We start from the raw sequence: 13,005 nt of genomic DNA on the forward strand, positions 1-13,005 counted from the left end.
ATTTACACACACACACACACACACACACACACTCATTTCTACAAAATAGGTAATTTCCTCCGTCAAATTTATATTCCTTAGAATTAAACCAGTAGCAGTTTGTGACAACAGTTATTAAGCCAACGGGCAAATCTATCCATATCCTCATCTAATCCTTTTTTCTAATTCCAAACTTGTTATTGCTCAACTTAATTGTATGAACTCAGCCAAGTTTTTTAATCTCTTTGGGCCTTAGTTTTCACTTGGCAAACTAAGGAAGCCAATTTCCAAATTTCCTTGCAATTCTGATATACTTTTCTTACTCAGAACCTCTTCAGGCCTAATCTTGTCCCCTTCTAAGCTAGTAATAATTGGTACCATGAAAATATAATGAACACACAAGACATCACCATTCATAAAATGGCAGTAGAAAAAAATGCATACTTTTCATAATTTCAAGAATAGTTACTGACAATGAACATGCAAAAAAGGGTAGCTATTTTATTATTTTTATCTTTGTAATATTTGTCTTCCTTTTTACTGTATTTTGTAGTCAAACTCAAAGAAACAAAGAGTGATAAATTAAATTTTATATAAACATATAAAGATGCTTCTCTTCAATTTCCTAAAGAACTGTCCCAAACCTGATTTCCTATACTATAAGAAACAGAAAGAGACACACACAAACACACACACACTCAAAAATAATTTTATTTTTCTCATCAAGGTTTACAAAAACGGCTGTTTATAATTTGGTTTAAAAAAATCTTTCTGCATCTTAGTAAGGCATTTTTAGTTTAAGAAAAGTCTGGCTTATGCCTGTAATCTCAGCACGTTGGGTGGCCGAGGCGAGTGGATCACAAAGTCAGGAGTTCGAGACCAGCCTGGACAACATGGTGAAACCCCATCTCTACTAAAAATACAAAAATTAGCTGGGCATGGTGCCAGGCACCTGTAGTCCCAGCTACTCGGGAGGCTGAAGCAGGAGAATCGCTTGAGCCTGGAAAGCGGAAGTCATAGTAAGCTGAGATCGCGCCACTGCATTCCAGCCTGGGCGACAGGACGAGACTCCATCTCAAAAAAAAAAAAGAAAGAAAGAAAAAGAAAAGTCGTGGGAGGCTTTAGGCAACACGCAGAATAATGATCAATTAAGTTTAAATTAGCTGAAGTTAGGGTTTATGATGAAAAAACTTTACAATACTTCTGGCCTTAGGGTTTCTGTGTAATTGCTATGAGCACCAAATGATATGCAGGTATATTCTGTGCTCAATGTGAGTAACCATCTGAACACTAGAGACAGACAATATTGACCAACCAGGTGCTTGTCTTTTCAGGGTTTACAGTAAGTAGTTGCCTCTAAATTCTTGGACTTGACATCCCAAGGACACTGCCATGCTGCTTACAAGTGGATCATTAGTGGGCGGGAATGAGGTCTCAGGTATTCACCTAATGAGTAGACAAAATTTCTTCCAATTGCCACTCTGTGTGAAGCAATTCAGGCTACCACTTTATTTTTTTTTTCTTCAACTTTTATTTTAAGTTCTGGGGTACATGTTCAGGATGTGCAGGTTTGTTACATAGGTAAATATATGCCAGGGTGGTTTGCTGAACAGATCAACCCATGACCCAGGTAGTAAGCCCAGCTTCCGTTAGCTGTTCTTCCTAATGCTCTCCCTCCCCCACCCCCACCCTGACAGGCTCCAGTGTGTATTGTTCCCCACCATATGTCCATGTGTTCTCATCGTTCAGCTCCCACTTATAAGTGAGAATATGTGGTGTTTGGTTTTCTGTTCCTGTGTTAGTTAGCTGAGGATAACGGCTTCCAGTCTCATCCATGGCCCTGGAAAGAACATGATATCATTCCTTTTTATGGCTGCATAGTATTCCATGGTGTATATGTACCACATTTTCTTTACCCAGTCTATCACTGATGAACATTTGCATTGATTCCATGTCTTTGCCATTATGAATAGTGCTGCAATCAACATACACGTGCATGTACATTTATAATGGAATGACTTACATTCTTTTGAGTATATACCCAGTAATGGGATTGCTGGTTCAAGTGGTATTTCTGCCTCTAGATCTTGCAGAAATCATCACGCTGTCTTCCACAATGGTTGAATTAATTTACATTCCCACCAACAGTGTAAAAGTGTTCCTTTTTCTCCACAACCTCACGAGCATCTGTTGTTTCTTGACTTTTTAATAATTGCCATTCTGACTAGTGTAAGATGGTATCTCGTTGTGGTTTTGATGGGCGTTTCTCTAATGATCCGTGATGTTGAGCTTTTTTTCATTTGTTTGTTGGCTGCATGAATGCCTTGTTTTGAGAAATGCCTGTTCATGTCCTTTGCCCACTTTTTAATGGAGTTGTTTGGTTTTTTCTTGTAAATTTGTTTAAGTTCCTTGTAGACTCTGGATATTAGACCTTTGTCAGACGGATAGATGGCAAAAATTTTCTCCCATTCTGTAGGTTGTCTGTTTATTCTGTTGATTATTTATTTTGCTATACAGAAGCTCCTTAGTTTAATTAGATCCATTTGTCAATTTTTGTTTTCGTTGCAATTGCTTTTGGTGTTTTTATTGTGAAATCTTTGCCTGTGCTTATGTCCTGAATGGTATTGCCAAGATCTTCTTCTAGGGTTTTTATAGTTTTGGGTTTTACTTCAAGTCTTTAATCCATCTTGAGTTCATTTTTGCATAAGGTGTAACAAAGGGATCCAGTTTGAATTTTCTGCATATGGCTAGCCAGTTCTCCCAGCACCATTTATTAAATATGGAATCCTTTCCCCATTGCTTGTTTTTGTCAGGTTTGTCGAAGATCCGATAGTTGTAGTGTGCAGTCTTATTTCTGAATTCTCTATTCTGTTCCATTGGTCTATGTGTCAGTTCTTGTACCAGTACCACACTGTTTTGATTATTGTATAGGCTACCATTTTCACAAGCAACTTAGATGAGTGGTTTACTGAACAGTCAGAACTCATCAGATGCAGAGAGCTTTGTTTTTTCTCCAATTTTGGCCCCCACTGTGCTGTTAAATCTCCCTTTCTGATCTTAGAGAACCCCTCAAACCAGCTCCATAACTTTTTGGCCATTTTCGGTTATTTACAAAAATAGAAATCTTGGTCCAATTTAAAATTTCAATCTCTTCCCATCCACCACTCCTCCTCACCTTATAGCTGAAAGAATTGCAACAGGAGGAAAAGAGTCAAGTCGGCTCTGTCACCCTGCTTTTCTTTCTGGACTAGACATTGAGAGGAGAAATGTCTTTGCTTAGTGGATGAGTGATTATAATCCAGTGCCAGATGTCGATGCTTCCCCAGCTAACAGTCTGGCCAAAGATGTTCTCTGTATGGCAGGCATCCAAAGACTGCCTCTCTTTGGGTATATGAGTGAGTTCTGGGGAGGTGTGGGGCTTCCTCACTACACAGTTCCCTGATGTGAAGACAAACAGCTATCATCACCAACTACTACCTTCCTCTTCTCCCTCCTCACTCCCTCCCCATACTCACACACTACATGCCCTGACCTTGGGAGTCACCAAACCTCTTTCTGCTGGACCCACATGCCCTGCAGGTAGCCAGCCCTCTTAGAGGGTCCACATGTCCTTCTCCCTACAGACACAGAGACTTGTCAGTAAGTCTTTGCCTGAGTAAATCATCCCTGTGGGAATGAGGTGCTAAGTGTCCCTTCCTTGCAGCTGTTCCCAGTGAAGTAGTGTGTCCTTATCTCTCCTCAAGGAGGTGAAGGGAAAACCACAACATTTTCCATTTTGACAACCTATACCCTGACTATTTTCTCTATTGTCTTTATACCTCCTCTATCCATAACCCTTTTTCTTTCTGCTTCTTCCATTCTTTTTATTTGAGTTGGGGTGAGAATGGTGGTTGAAATGACAGTGTCTGCTACCCCTAAGTACACTCAGGAAAAGATGTGTCATCACACATGTTTGTAGTTCTCTCCAGAATGTAAAATACTTAGTTCCTCTTTTGTTCCAGTTTTGGGGACAAAACATGAGTTTCACTGTCACATCACCAAGTAATTTGGCATATCCTAGCCTCAAGGACTCAGAAGAGCAATACATCTGTATACCTATAATATGTCATCTTTATATGTGAGACCCAGACTGGGGTTCAAGATCCAGCTCTGCTTCTTAATGTGTTGTGTGGTCTTAAAGAAAACCCTTGATTAGGGTTCCATTTGTCATCTCTAGAATAAGGACAATACCAACTTTGTGGAGTCTTGAGCTGTGATTTGTAAATGCACATTAAATTTGTAAATTTAATGTTATCATCAGACTCACAAACAGCATTGTGGCAACTATGTGGGAAGGTAAGGCCTGGGCTCTGACGTCAAGAATTTCACAATCTAATATAGACACAGATACATAAAATTTGGTAAGTGCAAAGAAAGATACATATAGAGTGCGTATCAGCTCAGGATGAACAAGGGGAGCTGTGAGGTAAGGTGTCAAGGAAGGTCTCTGTTTTTATTGCCTCTGAGTCATTCTGCATGTGAGAAGAGTATTTCTGCCCTAAGGTATTGGGATGGTTGAACAACCTGACAGTGGACAGAGAAATCAGCAGTTTATTAATCACAAATACTCACAGCTCAGTGTCGGGAGTGAGGGAAAGACACCATACACCATGCAAAGCCCTTGAGAATTGCACCCAGAAAATGAGTGAACAATCAGAAGCTTTGTAATATCAAGAGGATGTAAGACTCTCTGGTTCCCGCAAGGTATATGTGATTGAATTGTTTACATAATTCTGCAGGCCAGCCTGGGCAACATGGTGAAACCTGGTCTCTACAAATAATAAAAGAAAATTAGCTGGGCATGGTGGTGTGCACCTGTGGTCCCACCTACTCAGGACGCTGGGGTGCAACAATCACTTAAGCACAGGTAGTTGAGGCTGCAGTGAGTCGTGATCGTAACACTGCACTCCAGCCTGGGCAACAGAGAGAGACCCTGCCTCAGAAAACTAAAAAATAACAAATAAATAATTCTGCAAGCTGACAGGAAACTGAAACCCACTACTCAGGGATAAGGGAAAACTGTTCTTGGGCCCATGATGAACAGAATTATTTGTTTAGGAGACCTTATCCAAAGGAGTAGAGTAGCGAGGGGAACTTGCAGTTGGACCATTTGAAGCCCTCCTGATTTCACCATATGTCAAGACAGCACATAGTATTGAGCCTGAATTTTAGCCCTTGAGTCATAGCCTCCTGCAGCAAACATCATCTGAACTCCTAAATAACACTGACTAAGAGTAATAAAAGTGATTGGCACAGGATTGGTGTCATGGCATTCCAGTTGGAGTAAATAGCACTGCTGAAGGCAAGTTTTTTTTTCCCCACAGAGTGTATGCAAGATCTGTACACATTTAATGTGTTGAAACATAAATTGTTAAGTAAACCATGGTAGGAAAAGAAGCCAAAGGGATGGATAGACAGAGGGTGATCATAAAGGGCCTTGCAGTCCAGGAAAAGAGCTTAGACACTATTCTGATATCCAATACTAAGAAGCATTCTTCCAAAAATGGTTAAGGATCCAAAAAATTGGGGAAAGAAAAATTTAAAGCAAGTCATACTAATTTTTACCACATGGATATTTTAATATTTTAGCGATGTGCATTTATAGACCTCCACAATGGTGTGCATTATTGCATAATCCTCTTGAACCTAGGGGCATTATTAGTCTTTTAGGGATTTCTTTTTCCAGAATATCAATGAACTGTTCCAGAGAACAAAGTTTAAAAATTACTGTTATAGGTAAAGAAGGATCATTAAAAGATTTCAAGCTGGGAGTGACATTGTCATATTTGTATTTTAAATTAAACACTCTAATAGATGTGAAGAAGACAGATTTGAAAGAACCAAAATTTGAGTAGTTAGCGAATCCAGTTACGAAGTTGTGGAAGCAATCCAGGAAAACAATCATGAATAAAAATGAAGTAATAGAGACAGAAAACAGGGAAATTTGAAAGATGTTTTTATGTGTTAGATGAGGTCAGTGTTATCAGTGGGAGAGCTAGGTCATGCTGCAGTCACAAACACATACCCTAACTTTAATGACTTACCCCAATAAAAGCTCCAGTCCTGTTTACACTAAATGTCTATCATTTGTTGGTGGGGAGATGCGTTCTGCTCCACAGAATCACTCAACGATCCAGATGATGGAGATTCTATCATCTTATAGCAGCACCATCTGGCAAATTGAGCTTCTTGAGTCATTACAAGGGAAAAGAGCATGGAGATTCAGATCCTGGCTTTGGTCTGAAATAACACTTGTTACTTTTGGTTACAGCCTACTGACCAGAATGAGTCACATAACCTGCCTAATTGCAAAGGGTCTCCCATTATCCTCTATGTGTCTAGGAAGGGGAGGAAAAGCAAATATTGATAATATTTCGGCAGTATGTGCAGAAGAAAGAATCAAGGATAACTCCCAAAGGTGACTGGGCGGATGATAGATCCATGAGCTGGGAGCAGGAGGGTACCAGAAGAGGCACAGAATGTTTGGAGGAGAAGATGATGACTTCCATTCTGAACATTTGTATTTTTTATGTGCCAAAGGAATTTTCATTTGAAGATAACAGGTAGATTGTTGAACATGTTAAGTTTGAATCTCAAAGCAGAAATTCTGTCCTGGAACCAAAACTTAGGAATCATCCTCAGTCATTAAACCAAGAGTGGAAATACTATCCAAGAAGACTAAAATGTTCCCAAAGGAACATTGGAGTTTTGGGTTTGATTGAAAACCCCAAGAAGAGGACAGGAGACTGTCAGAGAAAGATAAGGATAGAACCCAGAAATTTTATTTCAAAAACAGTGAAAGGAGGTGAGCCTTTCTGAGAGAATATGATCAGCAACAACAAACACAAATAAGAGATCCTGTGAGATAAAGGCCAAAAAGGGCCCAGAGGATCTGGCGGTTAAGAAGCCATAGATGGGCCGGGCGCAGTGGCTCACGCCTGTAATCCCAGCACTTTGGGAGGTCGAGACGGGCGGATCACGAGATCAGGAGATCGAGACCATCCTGGCTAACACGGTGAAACCCCGTCTCTACTAAAAATACAAAAAAATTAGCCGGGCCTAGTGGCGGCCGCCTGTAGTCCCAGCTACTTGGGGGGCTGAGGCAGGAGAATGGCGTGAACCCGGGAGGCGGAGCTTGCAGTGAGCCGAGACCGCACCACTGCACTCCAGCCTGGGCGACTGAGCGAGACTCCGTCTTAAAAACAAAAAACAAAAAAGAAGCCATAGATGATCTCAGCAGGAAGAAGTTCTTGGGAGGAGTAGAGGCACAAGCTAGGCTGACAGGATTTGAGCAGTGAAAGGAAATGGAAGGAAATGGAAGAGGCAGTGACAGTAATGTTCTACTTCCAGCCTTCTTCCTCAACCCCAGTGAGTCATGTATTTATTCAACCAATATTTATTAATAGTAAGGATTTATTAGAATACAAACAAGACAGATGAGCTTTGCAATCTTGAGATTTTGCTCTTAAGTAGATGAATGTTTCTTTTCTCCTCAGTCTTCCTATAACATTTTGTATAGCCCTTTATTTTAATACTTTTCACATCACATTGTATTTATTTATCCATCTCCCTCTAGCAATGAATTCTTTCAGGATAAAAAAAAAGGGTAGAGAGTTCATTGATTTGTTTATAACAAAAGTTCATTACAGTGCTTGAACATAGTAGATACGCAGTGAATGTGTTTGGAGTTGTGCGTTTTTTTGTTTTGTTTTGAGACGGAGTTTTGCTCTTGTTGCCCAGGCTGGAGTGCAGTGGCACAATATCCGCTCACTGCAACCTCCACCTCCTGGGTTCAAGTGATTCTCCTGCCTCAGCCTCCTGAGTAGCTGGGATTGTGTCCGGAATTGGTGGGTTCTTGGTCTCACTGACTTCAAGAATGAAGCCGTGGACCCTCGCCGTGAGTGTTACAGTTCTTAAAGGCGTCGTGTCCGGAGTTTGTTCCTTATGTTCGGAAGTGTTCGAAGTTTCTTCCTTCTGGTGGGGTTCGTGGTCTCGGTGGCTCAGGAGTGAAGCTGCAGACCTTGGATGTGAGTGTTACAGCTCATAAATCCAATGTGGACCCAAAGAATGAGCAGCAGCAAGATTTATTGCAAAGAGCAAAAGAACAAAGCTTCCATAGTCTGGAAGGGGACCCAAGCGGGTTGCCACTGTTGGCTCAGGCAGCCTGCTTTTATTCTCTTATCTGGCCCCACCCACATCCTGCTGATTGGTAGAGCCTAGTGGTCTGTTTTGACAGGGCGCTGATTGGTGCCTTTACAATCCCTGAGCTAGACACAAAGTTCTCCAAGTCCCCACCAGATTAGCTAGATACAGAGTGTCTACACAAAGGTTCTCCAAGTCCCCACCAGAGTAGCTAGATACAGAGTGTCCATTGGTGCATTCACAAACCCTGAGGTAGACACAGGGTGCTGATTGGTATGTTTACAAACCTTGAGCTAGATACAGAGTGCCGATTGGTGTATTTACAATCCCTGAGCTAGACATAAAGGTTCTCCACGTCCCCACCAGACTCAGGAGCCCAGCTGGCTTCATCCAGTGGATCTCGCACTGGGGCTGCAGGTGGAGCTGCCTGCCAGTCCGGCACCGTGCGCCCACGCTCCTCAGCCCTTGGGTGGTCGATGGGACTGGGCGCCGTAGAGCAGGGGGTGGCGCTTGTCAGGGAGGCTTGGGCTGCACAGGAGCCCACAGAGGCGGGGAGTCGTGGGGAGGCTCAGGCATGGCGGGCTGCAGGTCCCGAACCCTGCCCCGCGGGAAGGCAGCTAAGGCCTGGCGAGAAATCGAGCGCAGCGCCAGTGGGCCAGCACTGATGGGGGGACCCAGCACACCCTCCGCAGCCGCTGGCCTAGGTGCTAAGCCCCTCATTGCCTGGCGCGCCGGCAGGGCCGGCCGGCCGCTCCAAGTGCGGGGCTTGCCAAGCCCACACCCACCCGGAACTCGTGCTGGCCCGCAAGCACCGCGCGCAGCCCGGGTTCCCGCCCACACCTCTCCCTCCACACCTCCCTGCAAGCTGAGAGAGCCGGCTCCAGCCTCAGCCAGCCCAGGAAGGGGCTCCCACAGTGCAGCGGTGGGCTGAAGGGCTCCTCAAGTGCTGCCAAAGTGGGAGCCCAGGCAGAGGAGGCGCCGAGAGCCAGCGAGGGCTGTGAGGACTGCCGGCATGCTGTCACCTCTCAGGACTACAGGCATGCACCACCACGCCCAGCTAATTTTTTGTATTTTCAGTAGAGACGGGGTTTCACCATGTTGGCCAGGCTGGTCTCAAACTCCTGACCTCAGGTGATCCACCCACCTCAGCTCCCCAAAGTGCTAGGATTACAGGCGTGAGCCACTGCTCCCGGCCGGAGTTTTTTTTTTAATTAAATTATTTAATCTTCACAGCTCTGTGAAGGAAATATAATTGATTTAATTTCACAGAGGAGGTAGCTGAGGCTCAGGGGTTAGAAATGGCAAGTGGTAGAGCTGAGACCAGAATCCAATTTCTGATTCAACGTCTTTTTCTCTCCGTCACACCAGAACTGCTTTTTCTGGCGTGATAGATTCAAAATGACTTATGTGTTGCTTTTCAAATCCCTCATTATATTCAAGATAACAGATTAACAATGCAATGTGAGATGTGGATAGGTCAATAGATCAAAACTATTCTGCCAATTCCCATAGTGCCTGAATTCATAATCTTGACTGAGCTGAGCCTAATACTGAACATACTATAGTACATAGTATATTACTAAGTATACTATACTATACTGTACTATACTCTACTATACAACTATGCTATACTATAGCTGAACATACTATACCACAGATGGTCCCTGATTGGTGATAGTTTGACGTATACAATTTTTCAACTTTACAGTAGTGCAAAAGGGATACTCATCTAGTAGAAACCATACTTTGAGTACCAATACAGCCATTCAGTTTTTCATTTTCAGTTCAGTATTCAGTAAATTACCTAGGATATTCAACACTTCATTATAAAATAGGCTTTTTGTTAAATGAGTTGGCCTAACTGTGAACTAATGTAAGGTTTTTGAACACATTTAAAGTAGGCTAAACTAAGCTATGCTGTTTGGTAGGTTAGGTGTATTAAGTGCATTTTTTACTATGATATTTTCAATTTATGATTGGTTTATTGGGACACAAACTCATTATAAATTGAAAACCATCTGTGTACTATACTATAGCTAAACATGCTGTACTGTAGTATGTTTAACCATATGAGGTTGTTCTTTTACATCCAGGAAGGGTCAAATATATCAGCACTTTCATATGATTCAACCTAATATGGTATAGGGTAATTTTTTTCTATAGTCTGAAACTAAAAGTATGAATTAGTAATATGAAATAATTAGTATGAAACTAGGCAGTGGAGTGAAGAAGAAAGATTTTGGAAACAGACTAATACTGCCCTAACAAGGCTTGTGACCATGTCATTTAAAATTCCTAAGCCTCAGTTCCCTAATCACTAGAATGGAGATAATAATTTCTTCCCTAATGTTTGCTGTAAGGTTTGAATGATATGGTCATGTACGTAAAAGGCCCAGTTCTATACCTGACCCATTAAAGACACTAAATCAATGGCAACTATAATTATGATCACAAGGGAACATGGATGCTTTTGATATAGGGTGTTATTTAATCACTAGTATTTATTTCCAGGTTTTATTCCGGAGCAGAATTATAATTTGTTGTATATATTCTTAATATAATAATTTCTCTGGAATTGCTTGTTATAATGCATATTACTTGCCTCAGAATTAAAGGTTTATTTTATGGAGCATATAACCAAGTATCAACAAACAGTTGCCTGCCAAGTAATAACTTTAGTAAAAGATAATCTTCGACAGGGAAGAAGTAGACACACAGCGGACTTTCAGTGATAAATATTTATATGAAATTTATCAAAGAATTCCCAGGAGCACTGACTGCTCTAAGCTGTAGAAAAGAAACTTAGCCAACGTCTTCCTTTTGAAATGAAAATCAGTAGCCAGAAGTGGCTAGTCCAAAAGCAATCTAGATAAGGGATAAGCCCCATCTTCATGCTCAGAGTCCTTTAATTAGCACTATGGGATGTGGGTGATAAAGAATTTTTCTAGTACAATTTTATTAAAAAATCCATGTTTTACTAACATGAACTTCTGGAAATTGATCATCCGTCTATTCAACTGAAAAGATAAAAATGGAAATTCTTTGAAGAAAAAGAGTACTTCAGCATCCTCTTAAAACCCTAGATATATTGTTTCATGGGAATTTAACTGTACATCTCCTTGATAGAATTCTATTATGGTTTTTGCTTATATAGGCACACTAGTTATTCAATGAAGATTGGGAATGAGGCACTGGACTTCATAATCTCTGTACTTTTTTCTATAGATAAAGATAAAATGGGTAAGAATTTCAAAGTCTACAAACTAAGATATATGAAAATTCATTCTTTGGTTTTTATGATTTTATTTTAGACTCTATGGTTCAGTCTGATAATGGCCATATACTTCCTCGATTCAGCAATTTTTCAGACACTTCAGATTGTAAATACAGTAACACCAGGATGGTTTATGTTTCCTCCTGTTCTTTCCCATGGCATTGATAGAGGGCTCAGATAGCACAGGGGTAATTGCCACCAGGAGAGCAGGGAAATGTGCCCTAGTCCTTGTGCACTGTCTCCCCGTTGTGCCACACCTACCCCTGAAGTCTATTGTAAGCTCTGGAGGTGACTACAGAAGCCTCACCCTTGGGAGCTAAGGAAGAGAGTTTCTACCTATCATGCTGAGTCTCCTGAGTCCTGGGCCAGCCTCTAACTTCAGCTGTAACTTCTGTCTGGGGCTCACCACAAGCAGGATCAGGTCCTCACTCCACTGGTGACTGGGCATTTTGTGGGTGTCAACTCAGCTCCCACTCAACTCTCTGCACCAGTGATGTGCTCAAGACTTAACTGGTCTTTGTCTGATCCCTGGCAGGAACCATCCATGCTGCATCTTCCAATGGGATGACTCTGAGATCTCTTTCAGGAACACTGGTTCTCTCCCCGTGCGTGTTCATAATCAGGATTCCTCGGAAAGCCTCCCTTAGTTTAATAAACTCAGACAAAATTATCTCTTACACTCCACAGGCTTAACAGAGCATCCTGTCCATTCTCCCAAACAGTGGAATGAACAGCCTTCCCTACAAGGCTTGCTTCTACTCATGTCTCAGAACTTGGAAGAGGCTGTCTAACCTCATATTCCTACCCTAGAACCCAGCTTGAAGGGTCAGAGACAGACACAGGCCTTCCTAAATTCACATCTGACTTTTTCTTTCCTGTCTATTTCTCTTTCCCCCCTTCCCTGCCCTGAAGTGCCTTTAACTAGTGTATGTGCTGGGGAACTTATGGGTGAAGAGAATTATTTAGGAAGTTTGTATGTGTAAACATGCTTCTATCTTACTTTCTCGCCAACAGTTTCTAAACCAAAGAGCAAAGAATTTGCAAAAAATTACAAAGATTGTCAGATGCGAATTTCCCCTGTATCCTCCCCCCTCCAAGTAGTGTGTGACCACATTTTTATTGTCTAGGCTGGGGGTAGGGATAAGGTGCTTGGATTATAGTGAAGAAATTCTATTGTGACTGAATTACAAAACGATTTTGCATCTTCCCTTCTTAAATCTTCTATCCTAATAGAATAGAATCTAGGTATAATTATGCACCACATGTTACATCACCAAAACAAATGGTTTTAACATGAGCCATTCTACCAAACACAGCATCTCATAGCTATAGGCCAGGGTTTTTCAACATCAGCAATATTGACATGTTGGGTGGAATAATTCTTTTTTCTAGGCCACTGTACTGTTCTTTGTGGGAAGTTTAGCAGCATCCCAGGCCTCTACCTACTAAGTACCAGTAGCACTCCTTTCACAACCAAAAATAGACATTGCCAAATGTCTCTGGCAGGGGAAATCACCTGAGGTTGAGAATCACTGTTGTAGACCCACCCTGACACAACATGTGATGCCTAT

General features: G+C 41.8%; 1 protein-coding gene across 3 annotated transcripts in view, besides 1 other annotated feature; it reads left to right on the top strand.

Moving 5' to 3' along the window:
• Positions 1 to 13,005, top strand: part of GABRB1 (gamma-aminobutyric acid type A receptor subunit beta1) — a 432,801-nt gene that overhangs the window by 375,784 nt on the left and 44,012 nt on the right. The gene's annotated exons all lie outside the window — the stretch shown is intronic.
• Positions 8,490 to 8,997: an enhancer, noted in NCBI's record as "H3K27ac-H3K4me1 hESC enhancer chr4:47379937-47380444 (GRCh37/hg19 assembly coordinates)". NCBI's record gives its function as "activates a minimal SCP1, AML or CMV promoter by ChIP-STARR-seq in primed H9 embryonic stem cells {active_cell/tissue: H9 hESC(primed)}" and the evidence as "EXISTENCE:reporter gene assay evidence [ECO:0000049][PMID:30033119]".

The sequence above is a fragment of the Homo sapiens genome, chromosome 4 (assembly GCF_000001405.40).
Source record: "Homo sapiens chromosome 4, GRCh38.p14 Primary Assembly".
Lineage (NCBI taxonomy): Eukaryota > Metazoa > Chordata > Mammalia > Primates > Hominidae > Homo > Homo sapiens.